At 50.7% G+C, this 24593-nt stretch overlaps 1 protein-coding gene across 2 annotated transcripts in view, besides 1 other annotated feature; it reads left to right on the top strand.

Annotated features, from left to right (window-relative positions):
- C10orf143 (chromosome 10 open reading frame 143) overlaps positions 1-1713 on the top strand; it is a 75706-nt gene extending 73993 nt beyond the window's left edge. For both annotated transcript variants that reach the window (XM_024448009.2, XM_024448007.2), the window contains 2 exons: positions 868-980; positions 1526-1713. In XM_024448009.2, the coding sequence (XP_024303777.1) occupies positions 868-980; positions 1526-1580 (168 nt within the window). In that variant the 3' untranslated portion in view covers positions 1581-1713. The remainder of the gene's footprint in view (positions 1-867; positions 981-1525) is intronic.
- Positions 22448-23288: an enhancer, noted in NCBI's record as "H3K4me1 hESC enhancer chr10:131811814-131812654 (GRCh37/hg19 assembly coordinates)". NCBI's record gives its function as "activates a minimal SCP1, AML or CMV promoter by ChIP-STARR-seq in primed H9 embryonic stem cells {active_cell/tissue: H9 hESC(primed)}" and the evidence as "EXISTENCE:reporter gene assay evidence [ECO:0000049][PMID:30033119]".

Genomic DNA, 24593 nt, shown 5'->3' with positions numbered 1-24593 from the left:
CACCTGCTGGGCACCATTGTTCTCTAGGAACTTGCGCCCAGCACCCAGCGTCCTCTGGAGAGAAAGGAGCACAGGACAGTGTGCACCTAGGTGGGCTGCATGCCTGACTCACTGCTGTGTCCGTATTTTGGGAACCTTGGACACTTTCTACAGTGAGTCAGAACAATCTCCAAGCCATGTGGGCTTCCCTCTTTGTCAAATACTATTGAAACGCAGGACGCTTACAGGAACCAGGTGGCAGCTGGCGAGATGGGGGCCGCTTCTCTCAGGGTGGAGGCTCCAGGCAGAGCTTGGAGAAATGGCCCAGCCCAGGGTGTTCTGGGGACCTGCAGAGGGAGCTGCCTGCTTCTGGGTCAAACAATCAGGGCTGCCAGGAGCCAGGGCTGAGCCTTGAGATAGGGACTGAAGAACCATCTCCTCCCCTCCAGCCAGCATGGCAGCTGCCTGGACAGGTGATTACCATCGTCCTATGACAGGAGGGCCTGAGGTCTGTGGATGGTGTCCATGACCTATCGGGCCTGGAAGACCAGAGCTCAAGACCCCAGATGGGCTCCTCGTCAGACAGGCCTGGCATGGGAAGTGGGCACCCAGCTGTGTCACTCCCTAGTTCTGTGAGTGGATCTTCCTGAGCCTCAGTTTCCCCATCAGAATACAGGAGAAACATGGAGTTTCTATGAACTGAATTGGGTCCCCCTAAAATTCCTATGTTGAAGCCTTAACTCCCAGTGTGACCCTATTTGGAGAAAGAGCCTACAAGGAGGTAATAAGGGTTAGATGGGGTCCTAAGGATGGGGCCCAGATATGATCGAATTTGTGTCCTTATAAGAAGAGAAACCAGAGAGCTCACTATCCCTCTCTCTCCACCAGGTGAAGATACAGCAAGAAGACAGGCATTGGCAAGCCGGGAAAGGAGGGCTTACCAGAACCCAGCCATGCTGGCAGCATGATCTCAGACCTCCAGCCTCCAGAATGGAGAGAAAGTGAGTTTCTGTTGTTTAAGCCACACAGTCAGTGGCATTTTGTTATAGCAGCCTGAACAGACTAAGACAACATTGGGCAGATAACTGAATTAACCATGTAAAGCACAGGCCCAGGATGCAGTGAACACATGATGTGTGGTGGTCTACTCACTTCCCAGCTGTGTGGAGTCATTCTCACGTCTGCAAAATGGGAATCCTGGCAGCTACCACCCTAGAGGATAGGGAGGATAAAGTGAGACAGGACATGTGAGGGCACCGAGTAAGCAGTGAGGGGGCAACTGATGCCTGGGGAGTTGCTGCCTGAATGCCCCACAACATAGGGGCCATGAGGCAGCTGCACCCCTTTGCAGCCTTTTAGGAGAGGGTAGTCCTCAGCCTCTGAAGGGCAGTGTTATGGCTGAATTGAGTCCCCCCAAATTCATGTATCGATATCCTAACCCCCAGTAAATCAGAATGTGGGTATTTGGAGATAGGGTCTTTAAAAGTAACAAAGGTTAAATGAGGTCTTTGGGGTGGGTCCTAATCCAATATGCCTGGTTGGATAGAAGAAGAGGAGGCAAAGACACAGACGAAACACACCAAAGGATGGCCATAGGATGACATGGGGAGAAGGCAAGCATCAGCAAGCCAAGAAGAGGGACCTCAGAGGAAACCATATCTGCTGATACCTTGATCTTGGACTTCCAGCCTCCTGGATGGTGAGAAAATAAATTTCTGTTGGTTAAACCACCCAGCCTGAGCTGCCTAATACAGGTTGATTTGTTCACAGCTGCCTCTGCCCTCTGCCTAGAGAGAGTTGCTCTTTTATTCCTCAACCTCCTCTGAAGGTTTTTCCGTCTGTCACTAAGTCACCTGCTCACAGGCTTCCCAGCTTTGTGACAGGTGAACAAAACACTTACATGTTAGAAAAAATATGGGCATGGCCTTAACTCCTACTGGACCTAAACCTCTTGCAAATAAAAACTACAAACTCTAGACAAAAAAGAAAAACAAAAAACAAGCTCTACTCAATTCTCTGCTTAACTTTTGAACTACACATGCTTTTAGGCAGACTCAATGCATTTTAGCTAAGGATAAAATATCTAAACTGTGATTTGAGCTGATACGAAAGAGACAAATTTGCCGTTTAAGTTTAACTGAGAAAAAAATGAACATTCTCTGGAAGATTAGAACAGAGTTTAGAACCTCCACAACATAATGTTCCTAATATTCAGGATACAATCTAAAATTGCTTGACATATGAAGAACCAGGAAAATGCGACCCAGTTTAAACCAAAAAGTCAATCAACTGAGAACAATTCTGAGATGATCAAGATGTTGAAATTAAAAGACAAGGATTTTCCCAGCACTTTGGGAGGCCGAGGTGGGCAGATCACGAGGTCAGGAGATTGAGACCATCCTGGCTAAAACGGTGAAACCCCATCTCTACTAAAAATACAAAAAATTAGCCGGGCATGGTGGCAGGTGCCTGCAGTCCCAGCTACTCAGGAGGCTGAGGCAGGAGAATGGCGTGAACCCGGGAGGCGGAGCTTGCAGTGAGCGGAGATCGCGCCACCGCACTCCAGCCTGGGTGACAGAGCGAGACTCCGTCTCAAAAAAAAAAAAAAAAAGACAAGGATTTTAAGAAAGATATTACAACGATATTCAATGAAGTAAAGGGAAATATGCTTGCAGGAAAGAAAAGATAAGAAATCTCAGCTGAGGAATAGAAACTGAAAATAAGGACCAAGTGGAAATTCTGGAACTGAAAAAAAGACAATATCTGAAATTAAAGATTCACTGGATTGTCTTAATAACAGAACAGAGATGAGAAATGAAGATCAGTGTACTTGAATACAGATAAAATCTATTCTGAAGAGGAGAGAGAAAAATGATTTAAAAATAATGAACAGAGCCGTGGGAACCTAGGGGGTAATATCAAAGGATGTAACATAGATATAATTTGGGTCCTATGAGTAAAGGAAACAGGATGGAGCAGACAAAACATTCGAAGGTGTAGTGGCCAAAACATTTCCTAAATTTGTTGTTGTACCACACAAATGTGAGATTGTAAAAGTTCAGTGAACTCTGAATTGGATGATTTAGTCCTTTTCTTGTTTAGAAAAAAATGTGCAGCTTGCTGCCAGCAGTCAATTAGTTTTACATAAACATGCTCTTTGAGGCTGAAGCAAATCTGACTAAATTTCAATGTGAAAATAAAATATAAAACTATTCTTGGGGTTTGATTTTTTTTTTTTTTGAGATTGGTCACTGAGGCTGGAGTACAATGGCATGATCTTGGCTCACTGCAACCTCCATCTCCCAGGTTCAAGTGATTCTCCTGCCTCAGCCTCTGGAGTAGTTGGGATTACAGGCATGTGCCACCATGCCTGGCTAATTTTTATTTTTAGTAGAGACGGGGTTTCACCATGTTGGCCAGGTTGGTCTCGAACTTCTGACCTCATGATCTGCCTGCCTCAGCCTCCCAAAGTGCTGAGATACAGGCGTGAGCCACCGCGCCTGGCCTCTTGAAGTTATTTCTGAACAGAGCTCACATCAGAATTGTCTGAATCATCAGGATTGTCTATTCCAGAAAAATCTGATTCATCAAATGAATCTTTGGCCAACAACTGTTAGAGAATGATGATAACATCATGTGTTGGAAAGCCACATTTTCTAAGATTTGACATTTTTAGCAATGAAGAATTACTATATTTTGTAAATGAAAATATCACTGCTGAAAACAGAATGCTATAAATAGAATGATGTATTTTGTTTCCAAAGTTGATATACCAGAGTGATGCCAAAATAATAATAAAAGGCTGGGCGTGGTGGCTCATGCCTGTAATCCCAGCACTTTGGGAGGTTGAGGTGGGCGGATCACGAGGTCAGGAGATCGAGACCATCCTGGCTAACACGGTGAAACCCCGTCTCTACTAAAAATACAAAAAATTAGCCGGGTGCAGTGGCGGGCGCCTGTAGTCTCAGCTACTTGGGAGGCTGAAGCAGGAGAATGGTGTGAACCCGGGAGGTGGAGCCTGCAGTGAGCCGAGATCACACCACTGCACTCCAGCCTGGGTAACAGAGCAAGACTCTCTCTCAAGAAAAAAAAAAGTTCTGGAAAAAGAAACTATCAACCTAGAATTCTGTAATCAGAATAAAGGCAAAATGAAGCTATTCTCAGATCAAAGAAAACTTAGAAGTTCTTTGAAGGGAAATAATACCAGTTGGAAATTCAGATTTGAAGAAGTAATGAAGAGTATCAAAACTGGGAAAGGTGTCCCTTTCCCAGAAATGAGGAACATGAAACAGAGGGAAGAAACAGAAAACAAATAATAAATTAGCACACCAAATCTAACCATATCAAAAATCATGTTAAATGTTAATGGACTGAGCATTATAATTAAAAGGCAGAGATTGTCAGACTAGATTTTAAGAAACAATACCCACATTTCACAACCATTAGGAAGGCTACTATCAAAAAAAGAAAAAGGACAGATATTGAAAAGGATGTGGAGAAATCAGAGCCCTCGTATCCTGTTGGTGGAAAATGTAAAATGGCACAGCTGCTGTAGAAAAACAGTATGGCAGTTCCAAAAAATTAAACGTAGAATTTCCGTATGATCCAACAATTCCACTTCTGGGTATATATCCAAAATAATTCAAAGCAGAGTTTCAGAGAAATATTTATACACTCACGACACCCACATTAATAGCAGTATTATTCACAATAGCTAAAAGGTGGAACCAAAGTTATGGACAGAAGAGTGAACAAACAAATGTGGTATATCCAAAAAAAGGAACAGTATTTAAACTTAATAAAGAAGTAAATTCTGATACATGCTACAACATGGCTAAACCTTGAGGACATTATGCTAAGTGAAATAAGCCAGTCATAAAAAGACAAATACTGCATGATTCCACTTACCTAAGATATCTGGAGTAGACTAACTTACAGAAACAGAATGGTTGTTGCCAGGGGCTGGAGAAAGAGAAAAATGGGGAGTTATTGTTAATGGGTAACATGGTTTGGGTCTGTGTCCCCACTCAAGTCTCAAGTTGAATTGTAACCCACAGTGTTGGAAGAGGGGCCTGGTGGGAGGTGATTGGATCATTAGTGGATTTCTGCTTGCTGTTCTCATGATAGTGAGTGAGTCCTCATGAGATCTGGTTGTTTACATGTGTAGCGCCTCCCCCTTCTCTCTCTTTCTCCTGCTCCAGCCACATGCCTTCTTCCTCTTCACCTTATGCCATGATTGTAAGTTTCCTGGGCCTCTCCAGCCATTCTTCCTATGTATCCTGCAGAACTGTGAGCCAATTAAATCTATTTTCTTTATAAATTACTCAATCTCAGGTAGTTCTTTATAGCAACGCAAGGATGGACGAATCCAATGGGTATAGAGTTTGTTTTGTAAGGTGACAAAGTTCTAGAGATGGGTTGCATAGCAATGTAAATATACTTGACACTACTGAACTGTGCGTTTTAAAATGGTTAAGACGGTAAATTACATGTTATCTGTATTTTAACACAATAAAAACTGACTTTTTAAAAATGCAAGACCTAGCTGTAACAATCATTTTAAGAATTCACTTCAAATATGAAATCTTGAACAGATTGAGCATAAATAGTTGGAGAAAGATATACCATGCAGCCAGTAAGCATAAGAAAACTGGAGTGGGGGCCGGGCACGGTGGCTCACGCTGGTAATCCCAGCACTTTGGGAGGCTGAGGTGGGTGGATCACGAGGTCAGGAGTTCAAGACCAGCCTGGCCAACACAGTGGAACCCTGTCTCTACTAAAAATACAAAAGTTAGCTGGGTGTGGTGGCGCACCCCTGTAGTTCCAGCTATTCGGAAGGCTGAGGCAGGAGAATCGCTTGAACCTGGGAGGTGGAGGTTGCAGCGAGCTGAGATTGCGCCACTGCACACCAGTTTGGGCAACAGTGCGAGACTCCATCTAAAAAAAAAAAAAGAAAGAAAAAAGAAAACTGGAGTGGCTGTGTTAATATCCAGTGAAACCAACTGCAAGACAAAGAGCATTAAAAGCAATGAAGAGGCCGGGCGAGGTGGCTCACGCCTGTAATCCCAGCACCTTGGGAGGCCGAGGTGGGTGGGTCACGAGGTCAGGAGATTGAGACCATCCTGGCTAACATGGTGAAACCCTGTCTCTACTAAAAAAAAAAAAAAAAAAAAAAAATACAAAAAAAAAATTAGCCAGGCGTGGTGGCGGTCACCTGTAGTCCCAGCTACTTGGGAGGCTGAGGCAGGAGAATGGCATGAACCCGGGAGGCAGAGCTTTCAGTGAGCTGAGATCACACCACTGCACTCCAGCCTGGGCGACAGAGCGAGACTCTGTCTCAAAAAATAAAAAGGGCGATAAAGAGGGTCACTTCATGATGACAAAAGAGTCCGTGTATCAGGAAGACATCACAATCATAAATATGTATGCACCTAATAAAAGAAGAAATAGACAATCATACAGTCTTAGAGATTTTAGCAGCCATTTCCCAGCAATTGATAGAACAAATAGAGAAAAATTCAGTTAAAATATAGGTGATATAAAAAGATGATCAATGACCTTGACCTGTTTGGTATTTATACTGTATGCTGCAACTTCAGAATACACATTCTTTTCAAGTGTGTGGCATGTTCTGCAAGATAGACCACCACATGCTGGGGCACATAACAAGTCTTTATACATTTAAACAATTGAGATAATGCAGAAGGTGTACATCAACAAAAATGGAATACGTTAGAAATCAATAATAAGAAGATATCTGGAAAAATTCCTATGTTAGACAGAATAAGGTCACCCCCCACCCCACAAGATATCCATATCCTAATCCCTGGAAGCTGGGAATATATTACCTTTCATGGGAAAGGAGAATTAAGGTTGCAGATGGAATTAAGGCTACTAGGCAGCTTACTCAGAGAACAGGAATATTATTTTGGGTTGTCTGGCTAGGTACAATGTAATTACAGAGGCCTATTAAAGTGGAAGAGGGAAGAGAAGAAGCAATCAGAAGGGAGTAATGTGAAAAAGTTTCTGCCAGCCATTGCTGGCTTTGAGGATGAAGGAGGTGGCCATGAGCCAAGGAGCACAGGTGGCCTCTAGAATCCAGGAAAAGCAAGGAAATTGATTCTCTCCCAGAACCTCTGGAGAGGAATGCAAGTTGCCTGGTGCCTTCAGTTTAGCCCAGTGAAACCCATGTTGGACTTCTGACTCACAGAGCTGTAAAATAATAAATTTTGTGATAAGTCACTAATTTTGTGGTAATTTATTATGGCAGCAATAGAAAATTAATACAACCCCCAATTTCAATTCACTAGGGTTGTTACGATAATTAGGCTTAATTAAAATTAAGGAGGTTAGAAACTAAAGAGGAGCGTGTCTTGGAGGAGAGCTGCATCTGGTTCCCCCTGTGCTTCCCTTCCCTGGCACTGCAGTGGGGTTTGGACAGCAACATTCACCTTTGTCACAGTTGGCTGGACGAGCAATTCCCATATCCAGCTTAGTGGTTGGTTAGTGTCCATCCAAAAATTCATGTCCACCCAGAACCTCAGAATATGACCTTAGTTGAAAATAGGGTTTTTGCAGATGTAATTAAGGCTCGAGATGAGATCCTGCTGGAGGAGGGTGGATGAAAGGACTCAGACATGGAGGAGAAGGCGCTGTGACCGTGAATGCCGACACTGAGTGATGCATCCGCAAGCCACGGAGTGTGAAGGATGCTGGCAGCCCCCAGAAGCTGGGACAGAGGCATGGGATGGGTTTTCCCTCAGAGCTTCCCGAAGGAACCAGCCCTGCCCACACCTTGATTTCAGACATTAGCCTCTAGAACTGTCAGATAATACACTTCTGTTGGCTTAAGTCACCCAATTGCTGGTCTGTTATGGCAGCCATAGGAAACCAATCTGCCCAGAGTGCTGGTCTCCTGAACTATCACCACCAGAAGCAGATGCCCAAGGGCTCCAGGGAGAACCAGGCTGCAGCATCGGCTGGCATGAGCAGACACGGGGAATCATACTCACTTCCTTCTTGAGGTTTTCTGGACTCATTCTGCCTGCAGTGAAGTTCCTGAGGCATCAGTGGTCTCCCTTCTACGTTCATAGCAGCCCTGACCCAGGAGCTGGCCTGGCCTCCTGCCCCTGTCCATTCCCTGGGTGCTGGCCCATGCCCAAGACCCACTCTGCCCAGGGCCACAGCGGCAGCAGGAATCCCTATGGTCATGGCTGGGGCCTCATTGGAGGCCGCATCACCTCTTATACCCTGAAGCCACCCAGCCTCTGGGACTTGTGGATGAGTAGTCTGGGCCCACACACTGAGTCACCCCCTCTTTGCCTTTACTTCTCAAGCTTCCTTTCAGGTCAGGCAGAGCTATGGGGTCAGGGGACCCCTGCCCTGCCGGTCCCCCACAATTGCCAGCTGCTGAGGACTTGCCCAGAGCCCACCTCTCACTCAGGCAGGCGAGGCATCTGGGTTGTTGCCAGAGAGGCCCGTGCAGCCGGCTGGCTGGACTCACCCAAGGAAGGGAGGCCCTGGCTCTGTTGGCGCTGAGCCCAAGCAATACACAGGACCAAAGGGAGAGTCCCCGCCCACCGCCCAGGGCTACTGATTCTACACAGGGTGCATTTGGAGTGGTGGTGCCTGAAGTGTCCGGCCTATGCAAGGCCCTCAGAGGCAGGCGCTTAGCACAAAAGACAGTTGTCCATTCAGGATTCAGAATCCCAGGGAGTCATCCCCTTCAACAGGACAGGCAGCTGAGCAGAGGGCTTGGGACCCTACATCCAGGGACGGCCCTCGCCAGGGGCAGAGCGACCCCTCGCCAGGCCCTCCTGCTGAGACAAGTTGAGGAGGCAGCAGGGGAAGCTCTGCACGTGACGCCCACAGCACACGCACTGAGGAAGGGGTTTCGGCCCCCGAGGAGAGCACAGCAGTACCTGGGCCTTCGGGGAATGTCCTGATTATTCCAAGCAGCTGCAAGTGAAAGTCTCACGGCCGACGGGCCGGGGTTGCCAGGATTGGGGTGGTGGCCGTTCAGGGTCTCAGGATCCCCCGTAGAGAGGAGGTGTTCAGGGATCTGCAATCAAACCTACTGGAGTCTCAGCTCTGACGATGACGCTGACTTGAGCCCCGGCTGCAGCCTTGGCTCTTGCTGAATGCTAACTCAGCCCACCTTAGCTTCACTGAGAGCCACAGGGGAACTGTAGCGCATCCTTCCCTGTCTCCCTGAACGCTAACTCCCAATCTACCCTAACTTCACCCCATGGCGGGATAGCAAGTCCCCAGGTGGGACTGTAGCGCATCCTTCCCCACCTTCCTGAATTAACGCTAACTCCCATTCTACCCTAACTTCACCCGGCGGTGGGATAGCAAGTCCCTGGGTAGGACTGTAGCGCATCCTTCCCCGCCTTCCTGAACCCTCTCAGTCTACCTTTAACTTGATCTCGCTGGTGGGATAGCGGTCCCACACATGGGAATGTAGTACACTCTTCTCCATCCCAACAGTTCTGGGGGCAGAGTGTGGCCCTATGTCCCCGGCTGGCCGTGGTCTCCCCTCGGGTGTGGAGGTTTTGGGGGAGGATGTGGGGTGGTGGGCAGGCGCGTGGGTCGGGGGAGGCTGCGAGTGGCTCCACCCCATCGCCGGGCCTTGTTTGGCCCCCCGGGGAGAGCCCTGAAGTGGGGCAGGGGGAGACCGTGAGATGGCAGCTGTGAGGGCAGCAGCGGTGGCCTCCGGCTGGGGACAGTGTTGGCGCCTCTGTGCAGCCTGGAGTCTGTTCCAGCAAAATGGCCGTGGACACGGGGACATTTCTATTCAAACAAAACTCTTCAGGAGCGGCGAGCATGTTGGGCAGTAGTACGTGGACGTTTCTCACTAGAGCTCCCCCAGGGCCTGGCAGCAGGTGGGCGGTGGGTGTGGGAACCTTCCCCTCACTCGGAACCCCTCAGAGTCAAGGGGCACTTAGGCTCGGGCTGACAGCCTGAGGACTCAAGGCTGGCGAGTGCTCACTCTCAGCCTCCTGCCTCCCACACAGAGGGCTGTGCTCCCTGGAACACCGTGGGCACGGGGTCCTGCCAGGGGCATGTGTATATATATACATATATATATATATATATATATATATATATATTTTTTTTTTTTTTTCTTCAGATGGAGTCTCGCCTAGGCTGGAGTGCAGTGGCGCAACCTGGGCTCACTGCAACCTTCACCTCCAGGGTTCAAGTGATTCTCCTGCCTCAGCCTCCCGAGTAGCTGGGACTACAGGCACCCACCACCATGACTGGCTAATTTTTGTATTTTTAGTAGAGACAGGATTTCACCATATTGGCCAGGCTGGTCTCGAACTCCTGACCTTGTGATCCCAAAGTGCTGGGATTACAGACGTGAGCCACTGCGCCTGGCTCCTTTTGTATATTTTGGTATGCATGGAGAGGTGTTTATTGCCTGAACATGGAGCCCAAATTACCTGCCCCCACCCCCCACACTGGTCAGCACTGGAGCTCTGGTGCCAAGCTGACCTCTGGGATCATTTTGTGGATTCTCAAGGGCTGTGAGGGGAAAACATTTCAAATTAGGCAGGATGCCCAGTAACTAGGAGCACTTGGAATCTCCAGCCTCACAAACACAACCACGTCTAAATGAGATTCAAAGAGAGGAAAAATTACCCTCCATGAATATCCCTTGAAATTGCCCAGCAGAGAATACTCTGGAGCGGCACGTGGATGCATCCCGAGTTCTTTGGAAGGAGGATGTGAAGAGTGCCCAGGCTGGCACCCCCTGGATAGTATAGCACAGGCAGTGTGGAGCCTGATGAAGCACAGGCAGGCGCGATGTGGACAGCAGCACGGACGTCCGGCCGCCCAAGTGTCCCCTCGCCTTTCAACCGCAAATCCCACTGTCAATGCTGCAGACAGACACGGTTCACTCCATAAGATCACCCGTGAAATGGGAGCGCCTGACCACATGCCTGGAAATGTGAAAGGATAATTCTCACCACTGTGAGCGGCTCCTAGCACTGTTCATGGGAACCATTTGCCTGTAAACACAGACGTTAGAACACATCCTTCTTGGCATATGGCAGGGTATCAATCAGCAAATCAGTCAAAATACAGAATTCTAAGGATAAATGAATAAGATCATGGAGGCTTGCTGTATTCATCTTTTGGGGCTGACAAAATGCCATCACCTGGGGCAGGATGTGTTAAACAACATGTTTATTCTCTCATTATCTGGAGGCTGGAAGTCCAAGATCAAGGTGCCAATAGGTTGGTTTCCCCTGAGGCCTCTCCTCCTGGCTTGCAGACAGCAAAGGTGCTGTGTCCTCGCCTGGCCTTACCCTCTGTGCATGCATCCCTGGTGCCACTCCCTCTTATTATAAGGATGCCAGTCCCATTGCATTAGGGCCCCACCCTTAGGACCTCATTTAACCTCTGTTACCTTCTTAAAGGGCCCAATTCCAAATATAGTCACAATGGGGGTCAGGGTTTAGAGCTATGAACCAGGAGGGGCACAGTTCAGCCCCTGACAAGCACCAACATGCTGTCCTTCCTGGCTTGAGTGTTGGTTAAAGCTCCTGCTTGGCTTTGGCCCATAGAATCTCACAGATCCCAGAATAGAAGCTCGCCCATCACTGCTCTGAAGCAGGGAGCCTGGGACCGAAGGCCCTGGGGTGAGAGCCTCCCCCGCGCCAGCCATGCTGCTGGGGGTTTCTGCACCTCATCTTTGATCCTTGTCACACCTGCAAGACCAGGGGTAACAGTCCCATTTGCAGAGGGTGGAACTGAATTTCTAGGAGGTGAAGCCACTTGCCCAAGGCCACTGGGCTCATGTGTCTGGGCCCTGGAGATGGAGCCGGGCCATAGACCTTCCTGGCCTTGTCCAGGGTGAGAGACAAACGCGTGACGTGCCCATGCACCCTGTGGATAGCATTAAATGGCCACGCTGATGGGCACGGGGTGCATCTCAGAAGCGTTTTGTGAACCATCCTGTCTCCAATTTGCACTTTTTGTGTACTTTTAGAAGGCAGCTTGTAAACTGCTTCCAATGAAAGTAAAAGAAAACAAACTTCCAGCCATCTCTTACACCTGCGTTTCATGAATGTCTGCTGACCTCAGCAGGAGCAAGAGTTTCTCAAGTGGGAGTGAGTTGGTCTTAGGGGATGAGTGTGCACAGCAGGCTCTTGTGAGGCTGTTTCCATCATCTGCAGGAGACGGGCACAGGCAGAAGATGGGCACAGGCAGAAGATGGGCACAGGCAGGAGATGGGCACAGGCAGGAGATGGGTACAGGCAGGAGACAGGTACAGGCAGGAGACGGGCACAGGCAGGAGACAGATACAGGCAGGAGACGGGCACAGGCAGGAGATGGGCACAGGCAGGAGATGGGCACAGGCAGGAGATGGGCACAGGCAGGAGACGGGCACAGGCAGCAGACAGGTACAGGCAGGAGACAGGCACAGGCAGGAGACGGGTACAGGCAGGAGACGGGTACAGGCAGGAGACAGGCACAGGCAGGAGACGGGCACAGGCAGGAGACGGGCACAGGCAGGAGACAGATACAGGCAGGAGACGGGCACAGGCAGGAGACAGATACAGGCAGGAGACAGGCACAGGCAGGAGACGGGTACAGGCAGGAGACAGGCACAGGCAGGAGACAGGCACAGGCAGGAGATGGGCACGGGCAGGAGACGAGTACAGGTAGGAGATGGGCACAGGCAGGAGACAGGCACAAGCAGAAGGCAGCTATAAGTGTGCCGGGGGCAGAGGCTTGAAGCGGGGTGGGATGTGGGCTAACAGGGTGGGCCTGGAGGGAAAGCCGCCCCAGGTCTCTGATCCTGGTGGGCATCCCGTGGGGCCGGGGCAGCTCTTCATGGCATCAGAAACAGGGTAGTGGGCCACTAGGGGCCAGGCTGCCGGGCAAACACTGCCACCTTGTCCATTGGAGAGCTGAGGCCACGGCTGTCTTGTTCTAACACATCAGAAATTTCAGGACGACTTCCTGAGCGAGGACGTGAAGTGGGAGTGAAGCCTGTCGGGAAGGGGCCACACACTGATTCTCACCAAGGCACAGTCTGAATGAAGGAGACCGGGCCCAGCGCCCTGTGGGGGCAGAACCATCCTCACCACCTTGGCTTGCACAGAGAAGGTGACTGTGGCTCCTGGGGAGGCCTGTCCTGCCAAGCCAGTGGGGTCCCGGGCTCAAGATGAGCAGTCCAGCTGACACATGGCTCTGTGGTCTGGCCCTCATGGACTCGTGCCTTCTGCACCCAGGTGTGCTGGCTGGGCCTGGGCCAGGTTTGGAGGAGGCAGATGGTGAGGCACACCAGGGTGGGGAGGGAGGCCTGGGAACGCGTCCCATCCTGCCCCACTATGTCTGCAGGAACCCTGAAGCTCTTTGACCCTGAGGTGGCCCTGCTTGCCCCACTCAGCTCTGTGCCCCATGCCCACCTAGGCTCCCAGGACAGCCAGCCCCGGTGCTCCCCACCCAGGAGTCTGGATGGTCAAAAGAGGCGCCCTCTCCAACCTCGTGAAGCAGGGCTCAGAAGTGCGTGTGGCTGCTGCTGATTATAAACAGAATCGCCTAAATTAAGGGAATTTGAATTTAATGTCAAAATGTCAGCCATTTTCGCTGTGAATGCGAGCTGGGTGACTGTCCTGTTAGCAAATCGAGCACAGGGCTGAGGTGGTTCCCGGGTCCGTCTGAGAGGAAAACTCCTCTTGGCCTCACTCCTCCCTTTTGTGTGGGGCTGATACCACCTGAGAGAGCAGGGGTGCGCACGAGAGTGGGTGGCACCCTGTGGCTGCCAGAGCCAGACCGGCAGGGCCCCCCAGTGACACATCACGGGGGCTCGGTCACCTCACCTGTCAAATGGGTATAGGAGCATCTCCCTCACTGGATGTGGGAAAGAACGAACCCATCCAGGCAACGCGAGCCATCCAGCCCCCGTTCTGACAAATGTCAAGCCCTTGACAAACAGCGACGGTTGCTTCTCTAATCCCTGCTTTGCCAACAAGGCCCAGCTGTTTCTTCTTTAAGTACAAGTAAAGTTCAGTTCAGCTGAATGATCCTATTTGGTGATTCATTCATGAGTCTTCTGTGGGCCGGGGACAGACTCCAGGACCTGCGTGCAGGAGGGAGAGGCAGATGCCGATGTAGATGATATAATAACACCCCCTGAGGTCATCGGAAAAGTGGGATGTGCGGCAGCAAAGGGGACCCAGAGGACAGGGCAGGGCCCAGGAAGGCAAGGAGCCCATGGCACACCGAGAGGGACGAGGGCTTTGTGCGGGGGGTGCCCCACGCTCCCTCGGCAGGGCAACCCAACGGTGCAGGGTGGGTGGGCTGCAGCGTGGGCTGCAGGGAGCTGAGTTTTTCCAGTGGCTCCCTGAATCCCTGAATGAATTTTCTAGGGCTGCCGTCGCAATAAATGGCTGCAAACTTGGATGGCTGAAAACAATAGACATTTATTCTTCCACAGTTCTGGAGGCCAGAAGTCCAAAATCAAAATAGGGTCTGCAGGGCGGTGCTCTCTCCCAGGGCTCTGGGGCGGGTTCCATCCGGCCTCTGGGTTCTCAGTGCTCTCTGGGTTCAGTGGCTTGCAGCTGCTGCATCCCGTCTGCCTCTCCAGCACCACATGGCCATCTTCCTCCCTCTGTCTGTGTGTCTTTCTCCTCCTCATAAGGACACCAGTCACTGGGTTAGGGCCCACTCTAATCCAGCATGACCTCCTCTTAACTAACAGCATCTGCAGAGACCCTATTTCCAACAAGTTCCATTCTGAAGTGCCAAGTGGATGTGGATTTGGGGGGACACTGTGCAACCCACTCCAGTCTTTTTGGGAAGTCTAAAGAGCAGCTCCTGTGTGCCCAGCTTGGGATGACTTTGGCTTTTCTTCTCCAGGTGATGCCTGTGATGCCCCCAAAGGCTCATGTGATATCGATGAATATCACAAGTGTTTTGCATTCTCCATGATGAAAACAGCATGGGCACGGAGTTCTGTCTGGGTTAGCCGAGCAGCCCTGTGCGTTCTCCTCTGGGGAGGGGAGGCGCTTCCCCCGAAGCCTAAACTAAGCCCTACAGCAGTGACAACGGGGCAATGGGTGGGGAAGGAGCTGCTGGCCTCAGGTTCCAGCTACTGAAGGGCTGAGCTCCTCCTGGCATCCCTGGACACACCATTCTTGCCCCTCTCTGCTGGTTGCACTCGCTGCAGCTTCCACCACTGCTTTAGATTGGACTTATTTAACGGAACTTCATAGGGCTCATCTGCTTGCATGTGGTAGACACAAAACGGAAACTGGCTCAAGCAGAAAGAATGACTCAGTGAAAACACTTGGAGATGCCTCAAGAGCCACTAAGCTACTAGAAAAAGCAAGAATGAGCCAGACTCTGAACACGAGCTCCAGGCCACAGATGCCCCTGGGGCCCTGCCTGCTCCTTCCCCACTCTCCTCCCTTGGCATATGGGCCATTGGCTTCTTTCGCTTGCACTGCAAATTGGCATTCTCCATGGCAGCCAACAGCTTCCAAATGGGATCTCAGCTGACAGAGAGAGCCCCACTCCCCTCTCCAAGTCCAGAAACCTCAGAGCAGCGACTCATTGGTCAGGGCCTCCTAATCAGCAGAGGCCAGCCGGGGACAAGGAGCCCCCGCGGGACGGTGGGGGACCAGGCAGGCAAACCAGGGAAGTCCACACCACGCTGCCATCACACAGTGATCTTCGGTTCCGGGAATGGCATTTGGAAGCCCCTAGGCAAACGTTTGTCATTTGAAACTCATTCCCTGTGCAGGGCTGGGCAAGTGCCTGGTCTGGAGCTCAGAGCAGCCATTGGAGCCATTTGGCTGGCATCTGCTTGTGCTTATAAGTGAGTGATGCTCCAGCGCCGGTGCCACCAGCTTCTTCCAGGGCCTTGAGGTGCAGTGACCAGGGAGGGTGTGGAAGCTTCTCTAGGCCAGGAACACCATGCTCTCAGAGGGCCTTTTCCATCAGCTTGCCCGCAGCCAGCCTGACAGTCGCCCCCACTCCCTGGGTTAGGGATTCCAAGTCCCTGAGCAGACAGTGCTGGCTCTCACCGATGACAGCCTCGTGTTCCTGCATGCTTTTCAAGTGCAGGCGAGCCCGTCAACAGCTCAGAGAAGACAGCAGGAAGTAAGGGGTGGAAGGGAGAGGAGGAGAGGCAGACACAGAGCGCTTGGGCCACACAGGCAGGGGAGTGTTCTCCTGGGACGGAGCCAGAGAGCTGGGAGGAATCTGTGGACCAGAGGACCTCTGAGGGCTGCCCGGTGCTTCTCAGTGGGGGCCAGATTTCAAAATGGTAACTCTCTGAATTGGGAATTTTTGATGACAGCTTGAGCAAGTTTAGAAAGAGGACTTACTGGGTTGAACTAGAGAGTCTAAAAACATCAGTGGCTTCAGGCATGGAGTGACCCATTTCAGGGGTTGGCAGCCTGTGGTCCGAAGGCCAGATCTGCCCTGCCACCTACATGCGGCCATGGACATTTGTTCAAGTATTGTCTTTGTCTGCTTCTACTCTACCGTGGCAAGGTGGAGTAGGTGTGGCAGAGACTGTTGGCCTGCAAAGCCTACAATATTTATTGTCTGTTCCTTTAGAGAAGAGATTGACCGACCTCTGCCCTGCAGCTCTGCTGTCCAATATGGCAGCCACTGGCCACATGGGACTCTTGTTTTCTGCACTCTCGAAACGTGTCTAGTCTGAATGGAGATGGGCTGTCAGTGCAAACTACAGAACACACCAGGTTTTAGACTTAGTGTGAAGAGAAGAATGTGAAGTATCTCATTAGTAATGTTTGTATATTGATTACATAGTAAGATGTTTTTAAATTGTTGGGTTAAATAAAACATAGAGTTAACTTCACCTGCTTATTTTTACACTTTTTTTTTTTCAAAGATGGGGTCTTGCTGTGTTGCCCCAGCTGGTCTTGAACTCCCGGGCCCGTGATCTTCCTGCCTCAGCCTCCCTAGTAGCTGCATGACAGGTGCATGCCATTGCGCCCAGCCTATTTTTACACTTTTAACAGGGCTGCTACAAATTTGAAATTGTATTTGTGCCTCCCTTTGCATTTCTGTCAGACAGGGCTGATTCAGAGGCTCAACCGTGTGGCATGTTTCTTCCACATCCAGGTAGGTTTTCCACACAGGATTGGCGAGCTGGCTCCCATCACCATCTTATTCAGACTGCAGCCCATTAGTGAACCAGGAAATCTTGGTCATGACTATATAGTAGATCACGACCAGTATTTTTGAAAAATGAGATAGAATAAAATAGAACACGTTTAGAGCAAATTACACACTACAGATGAGTGCTGGTTTGCAAAACCTATTTTAGTTACACATTATTTATTTCATCCACCTAAGTGGTTGTACCATGATTTTATGACCAACGAAGAAAGAGAACACAGCCAATTAAACCATGGTGCAAGGCATTGATGATAGATATCTGGAACAGCAGAATCAGTCACAGCAGCCTCTTGGTGCTCTTGAGTTTCCTCTCTATTCCAAGGGATTTGCCCATTTCTTCTGCTTCAGTTGCATCTCCCTACACATGTCCTGGTCACCAAACACAACAGTGGCCAAGTGGCATCTGGTGCCTCTGTGTACCCAGCTGCCCTGAGGTGTCCCTTGTGTTTTAGCAGAGATCCTATGGAAATGGTTTTGAGCATCTGTGCACTAATAAGGAGAGGCTCCGAGACTCTAGCCAGCCCTGTGGCCTGTCTGCCTTGCAGTTCTAGACGAGCATGGTGAGCTCACCTCCCTGGCACCCCAGGTGAGTGGGGGCCCCACTGCCTGCAAGTCATCTCTGCAAATGGCTTCTCGGCCTTGTGGGTGCTGACTACACAGGCAGCCCACAGGTCTTGACCAGTGGTCCACCCTGTCCTGGCCCTCACTGCAGAAGCCACCAAGGTCTCAGGCCTGGACATATCGGAGTTTACGTGGGTGGTGAAGCCTGAGAGTTCTTTGGACTGGGCATCCAGTTTCTCTTGAGATGCACAAAACGAGCAGAGCCTGACTTCCTGCCTCTCTTGGGTAATGGTGGCAACCTCACCCCATCCCCCTGGCATTGTTTTTGTGTGCCGCACAGCCTTCAAGCACAGGCTGCAGGGCCATGACACAGCTCTGGTAAGTGAGTGCAGAGCACACGGCTTTATAATGAGGTTGGAAAGTTTTGGGCTATGCGTTTAATGAATTTTGTATTAAGGTTTAACACAGATGCTAGCATTTACATTTCACAATGCTGTTTGGAACAGATGTTTAATACTAAATGAAGAGTAGATTTGGATATGGCTATGCATCAAACACCTGCCGTTAAAGAAAAGAGCTTCAAATGCAGTGAAGTCCTCCTCCAGCAGTGGTTTGCAGCAGGAAGCAATGACTCATCCAGCTGGGCTGCAGGGGGAAGGATGATCTTGAAGGAGGTGGATCACACACCTCAGCTCCCTGGTTGGACAGTGGACTCGCTCTCGGAGCCTGCAGCACAGCAGCCCCCTCCTGCTATCGGGAGGGGCTCTCCAAGAGCCCTGAAACTGCTGCATCCCAGCTGACCGCCAAGGCTGGTCCAGCCCAACACCCTAGCTCATTCTGAAGAAGCCTTGGTGAGTTTTCCTCTCCAACACAGAATGTTCTAGAAAGGCATCCTAGCCCTTGCAGACGGATTCAGGAAGTTGAAGCAAAGTTATGGATATGTGACAGCCCTTCTATATATCACGATGCATACTGTGTTCCATGGAACACTACAGCGTGCTTATTATAGTTTATTTCATAAGGAGATGCACCTTAAAAACAATTTATTCAAATATTAATATCTCTTAAGGGAGACATCATCAGCCTGACTAGAAACATTATTATGGTAAAGTCCTGGGGAAAACCTTATAGAGCAAGGCAACGAAATCGATGGAAAAAAACCCAGCAGCACGTGGTCTGTGTGATGAAAGACATGAGGACCCTCGCTACGCCGAGTCACTCTGGCCGCCTCAGAAGGGCTGCTTGCAGGCAAGCCTGGAACCCTGCCCAAGGGACCACCGTCCACCCTGACTGTAGCCCAGGAGGGCCAAGCTGGCTGAGAGCCGGGCGCTGTGGCAGGACAGACCCTGCCTTTCTGGAGGGAAGGAGCCTCACATAGCTGAGAGCTGTGATTTGCCCCCAGGGTGGGGCCGAAGGTGGGGGTGCGTGTGATCACCTGGGAGAGGGCAGGGGAGTCAGCAGATGCTTCTGTCACCGAATGCAGGAGCCCAGGTGATGGGGGGGTAAGTCGCAGCTTTACATCTATCAACCAAAAGGCCTCTGGTGAGTATCTCTAAACTTTGCGTCTCCGTGCCTCAGTTTCCTCCTCTGTAAAATGTGAATAATGCCGTGACTTGTGAGGGCAAAGGGGGTTAATAAGGATGCAGCGCTCAGACCAGCCCCGGCACAGAATGGGCACCACGGCGGTGTTTGTTATGGAAGCTGCTATCACGATCACAAGTAGCTGCAGGACATCGGACAAGTCACTTCCTCTCCCTGGGCCTCAGACTTTTCCCCCACAAAATGGAGACAATAACACTAGGCATCACCATAAAACAATTAAATTTATGGATGGCCCCAGCTGGCATTGGCCCACCCTGCCCGGCTCTCTGTGGATGGAGCCACCTCCCACCCCCAGGACCCCAGCTTCCGGCTGCTTCCCAAGCCTCAGGATTCTGCCTGGAGAGAGGCAGGCCGGCTGTAGCCCCAGCTGCAAGGCTCATTTGGAAAATGGAAATGTACGTCATAACCCCATTTGTCATGCGATCGTGCTCCTGACAGCCAGCCGCACACTACCGTCCAAAGCAGAGATTTAGACCTAACGGGGAAAAATCTGTTAAAATTGACATATCCATTAGAAGATTTTAGAACTGAAAACGTATTCTTCATGGAGTGTTAGGATGACTTCTTGGGTGATGCTAAATCAATATCTCATACTTTGGGTGAATTCATTATTTTGTTTTACAAGAACTGTCTGCTAAGAACCTACATTCTTCCTGTGTTGCATCTTCAGCACTGCCCCAGGAAGGCCATAGATGAATCTTTTAGATGCCAGCCATGGTTCTGACCCAAAGTCCCCCTGAAACGATGAAAGATAAGGGAAATGGGCAGATGGTTTCACGTAGATCCGACGTCACTAAAGGGGGCTGCGCTCTCCTGTCCACCACGTTGCCTCCAGACTCCAGTGCAGGGCCCCGTCCTCTGGAGTAGTCCCTGGGACCCCGTGCTGGCACCTCACCTGCATCTCCCCTCTGAGCTGTGGGCCCATTCAGGGCCAGGTCCCCTATGGCTTCCTTCTGCCTTCTTCTTACTATTTTATAATTTCAACTTTTATTACAGATGAAGGGGTATGTGTGCAGGTTTGTTACATGGGTATATTGCATGATGCTGAGGTTTGGGGTCCAAATGATCCTGTCACCCAGATGGTGGGCACAGGACCCAGTAGGTGGTTTTTCAGTCCATTCCTCCCCACCTGGTCATCCTCAGTGTCTGTTGTTCCCATCTTCATGTCTGTGTGCATTTAATGTTTAGCTCCCACTTATAAGTGAGAACATGTGATATTTGGTCTTTGGTTCTTCTGTTAATTCACTTAGGATAATGGCCTCCAGCTCCATCCCTGTTGCTGCAAAGGAAATGGTTTTGTTCTTTTTAAGGGCTGTGTAGTATTCCAGGGTATATATATCCAATCCATTGTTGGAGGACACCTAGGTTGATTCCATTTGCTATTGTGAACAGCACTGCAGTGAACGTACGAGTGCCTGTGCGTCTTTTTGATAGAATGAATTATTTTCTTTTGCATATACCCCTTGCACTTCTCTCAGAGTGGACACCAGAGGAAGGACAGTCTCTCCCACGCAGAGGGAGGGGACACTTCTGACTGCTGTTCTGCTGACCAGTCAGGTTTCCATGTCTCTCAAAATGCATGGGAGACTCGACCAGTGGCCAGCGGAGGGATGGTGGGGCCTCGGGGGGACGGTGGCATGGGGGGAGGGCTGGGGGCAGAATCTGGAGGGGAAGAAGCAGCACAGGAGCAGCCCAACCCCCACCCCTGCTCCCCAATCCCCAGCCTGCCCGCCTGGCCCCAGGCCCACTGGGATAGGGCCCTGAGCTTGGCTGCTGTGCACGACCAAAGCCCTGGAGGTGAAAATGGAGGTTTCCGTATGATTTTTGTCTCTGAATCAACGCTTTCATTCACATCGAAGAGCACACCACATAATAGGAAAACCACGAAATTCCATGTAAAATATAAGCCTTCAAATCAACCACTTGTTTTGGTAAGTTTGAAATAGCTCTCCTGAGGAAGCAGCCCAGGACCCGGGTGGACAGGAGGCGTCTGGAACCAAGTCCCTGCACTGAGTGTGACCTGGGTGTGTTCCAGCCACGGCTGGGGCAGCGGCTCTTTGTTTCTGCTTCTCTGTGACGGGGACAGGATCCTTCCCACCTTGTAGAGTTCCATCTGAGCTCTTCCCATTGCTGATTGGTATCATCTGTTATTATTATTCCTGCTGTTGTTTTCAACCCACATGGCAAGGGAAGGAGTCTTCCTGGCTAGGCAGTGGCCCAATGTTTGTGGCAGCCGGTTGACCTGACAGAGACACGCCCACGTCCCGGGCCAGTGCCCCAGGCCCAGTACCGCGGCTCCGCTATGCCAGCGCCCACCCGTTCACCCTCACCGGCGCTCTACCTGGCTCATTCACGGGCATTTCGGTTTTCCTGAGATTTCTCTGAGATTCTGCGAGGCCATCCCATTCATGCCCAAGAGAAATGTCCTTGAGAAGAGAATGGAAACATTAGGTCAACACAAAAAGCCGAGAAAGCGTTGCTGTTCATTCAGGCAAGCATCCTCAGCACGCCTTCACCCCCGCCGTGGCCCGCCTTCTCTTCCGCTAGCTTTGTCATATCAGGCGGGGATTCAGAAATGACTTGGAGGGAGGGCGGGAGCAGAAGAAATGCTCAGCCACGTGGGTGGGCCGGGAGCAACTGTGCTCGGAAAGACCCGCCGGTGAACCCCAGGTCCCCCAGCTCCCAGCTTCGTGGCCTCAGAGAGCCGCCCGGAGATTTTGAGCCTGGAAAACCTCGCTGCCGGCTTGGGAGTGTGATGCTGCCTGTGTTGTTTCCCGCGGCTGTCTGGACAGATGATCGCAAACTGAGTGCATTTAAATTTATTTTAAAACAGCGGACATCTATTCTCTCACAGCTCCAGAAGCCAGAAGCTGAAAACCAAGGTACTAGCAGGGCCGAGCCCTTGCGGAGGCTCCCGGGGAGAGTCTGTTCTCGCCCCTTCCAGGTCCAGGTGGTCCAGGCATTCCTGGGTTTGCAGCTGCACCCCGCCAGTCTGCCTTCCCCTCTGGGTTTGTATCACATCTCCCGTGCACACCTCTATGAGGACACGCAGTGGCATTTAGGAAGCCCGCCGGGATGACTGGGGTGCACTCCGCACTCAAGAACTTCACTTCATTGCATCTTTTGTCATGAAGGTAATAATCACTTGCTTGCCATATAAAATCACATTTGCAGGTTCCGGGGATTGGGTCATAGACACACCTTTGGGGCCACTATTCTGCCCACTCCACCACCTTTCAGGCACGGTGGGGATCAGAGGAGATGTCGCTTGGTTTCCGGTTGGTGGCCCTGGTTGCTCGCCCTGGTTGCTCTGTTCGGCCTGCATGAGGCTGAACACTGCAGCCAGGAGCGGAGTCATGGGACATTGGTCATCGCTCCGCCCCGCCTCTGAGCCCCAGGGTGTTTCTTGCAGGATGAGAGGCCCCCGTGTTACTGAGACTCTGGGAGCTGCTTACGCATTTCCTCCACTGTGTGCCCAGGGCCACTGTGTGCCTGGTCCCCAGTGGGGCAGCTGTGCTGGGGAGGGCCCTATTCGTATCCCTGGGCCCACCTGCCCGGGGTCCGGCCCCCACCAAGGCCCCGCTCTTCCAGGCCTGCTCCTGTGTTCCAAAGCTCCCCTCACTAACCTCCTGCATCCTCCGGATGGGCTCGGAGGGACCTCACCAAAGGGAGATTTGTGGATCTCCTGAACATGTCCTGCCCCTGCCTTGGGCTACATTTCAGGACTAAGTACACCAGGCAGGTGTTTTCTTCTCGAATCTCAAAAGCAAGAATAAAGCAGAATGTGGACATCCAGATCTCGGCTGGGAAGGAACAGAGTGGCATTGGCAAGGCCCCGCTCTGATTTCAAATCCAGACTTTTCCTGCTCGGCGCAAAGCCCCGTTGTGACTGCACTTTGCCTGTGGCCTGTCACGCTTTCCTGGAAGCACACGTCAGGGGTAAGCACGAGAAAATAAGTTTATGTTTCTGAAAGATCTAACACACATTCCAGACCCAGGCTGCCTTTGGAACTGAAAGTCTGTTTTGTTAAAAGTGAAAAAAGCAGAATACTTATGACGCGCTATGAATTTCTGCTCCAACAATGTTCATCTTGCCCAAAACACCAGCCAAGACCCATAAGTCATGGTGATTACAACCAGGCGACGGTCGGCAAGCCCGCAGCGGCTGCAGAGCCCTGCGTCAGGTTCCCTGCTCTAAGAAAAAGAAACGGCGCTTTGTGTCTAATCCATCTTCTAATTATCCATTCTGAGGACAAGGTTTATAACCAGACCCTTTCAATAACGATGTGATTGATACGGAACCTGATTCAGGTTTGCCCTAAATGGCTGTGATGCCATCCAGAAATGATGAGTCTGCCATGTTTACCTATGAGCACGCACGTGTGTTTCCTGGATGTTCACGTATGTACTTGCTGCTGTGTGGAGGACGGTGCATCTCAGTCAGGCCACAGAAACTGAGTTTATTCACCTGGGCTGGCCCGTGGGGACGTCCACTTTTTTCAAAATCAGAAAGACAATGCCAGCAAAGCCACGGAAGTTCACATTCGTAGAAACTGTTTGTATCTTCCTTTTTGTTTTTTCTCCTTTTTTCAATCCTTATTGAGTTCCTACAAAACAAAAGTAATTGCTTATTGCAAAAATTCATCTAACACAGAAATAAAGCAGACATAGCATGAAGTTCAAAGGGAAAGCCCCTGTCATCCTTCTCTTCCTTCCAGACCCCCTCCCTGGAGCAAAGGCCACCAGCCAGTCTTGTCTATGTACAAATATACACATTCTCTTTTAAACAGCTTTGTTGAGATACAGTTCACATATAATCCAATTCACCCATTCACAGCATACAATGCAGAGGTTTCTAGTATATTCACAGATAGTACGCTCATCACCACAGCAGTTTTAGAACATTTTCAGCACTCAAAAAGAAACCCCTCCCCCTTTAACTGTCCCTCCCACCTCCCCCACCTCATGCCCCTGATCCCTAAACTACACCAACCTCCTTTCTGTCTCTATAGAGTCCCCTGCTCTAGACAATTCAGATAAACGGAGTCGTACAATATGCGCCGTCTCGTCCTCTGGCTTCCTGCACTTCCTGCTCGGTGTCCGAAAGCACGTAGAATCTGCATGTCCAGCTTTTCTGGAAATTGGGAGGAGACAGCCACCTGCACCCCTCGCCACTTGGCATTGGCACTGCAGGAGCACCTGCCCATCACCCCAGCAGCTTCGTCTTGGCCACCCTTGCTGGCCTCCCTTGCTGGCTGGCACTCCTGCTCCTGCCT

This window comes from Homo sapiens, chromosome 10 (genome assembly GCF_000001405.40).
Source record: "Homo sapiens chromosome 10, GRCh38.p14 Primary Assembly".
Classification (NCBI taxonomy): Eukaryota; Metazoa; Chordata; class Mammalia; order Primates; family Hominidae; genus Homo; species Homo sapiens.
Note: the sequence above shows the minus strand (reverse complement) of the source record. Positions and strands in the feature narration are given on the sequence as shown.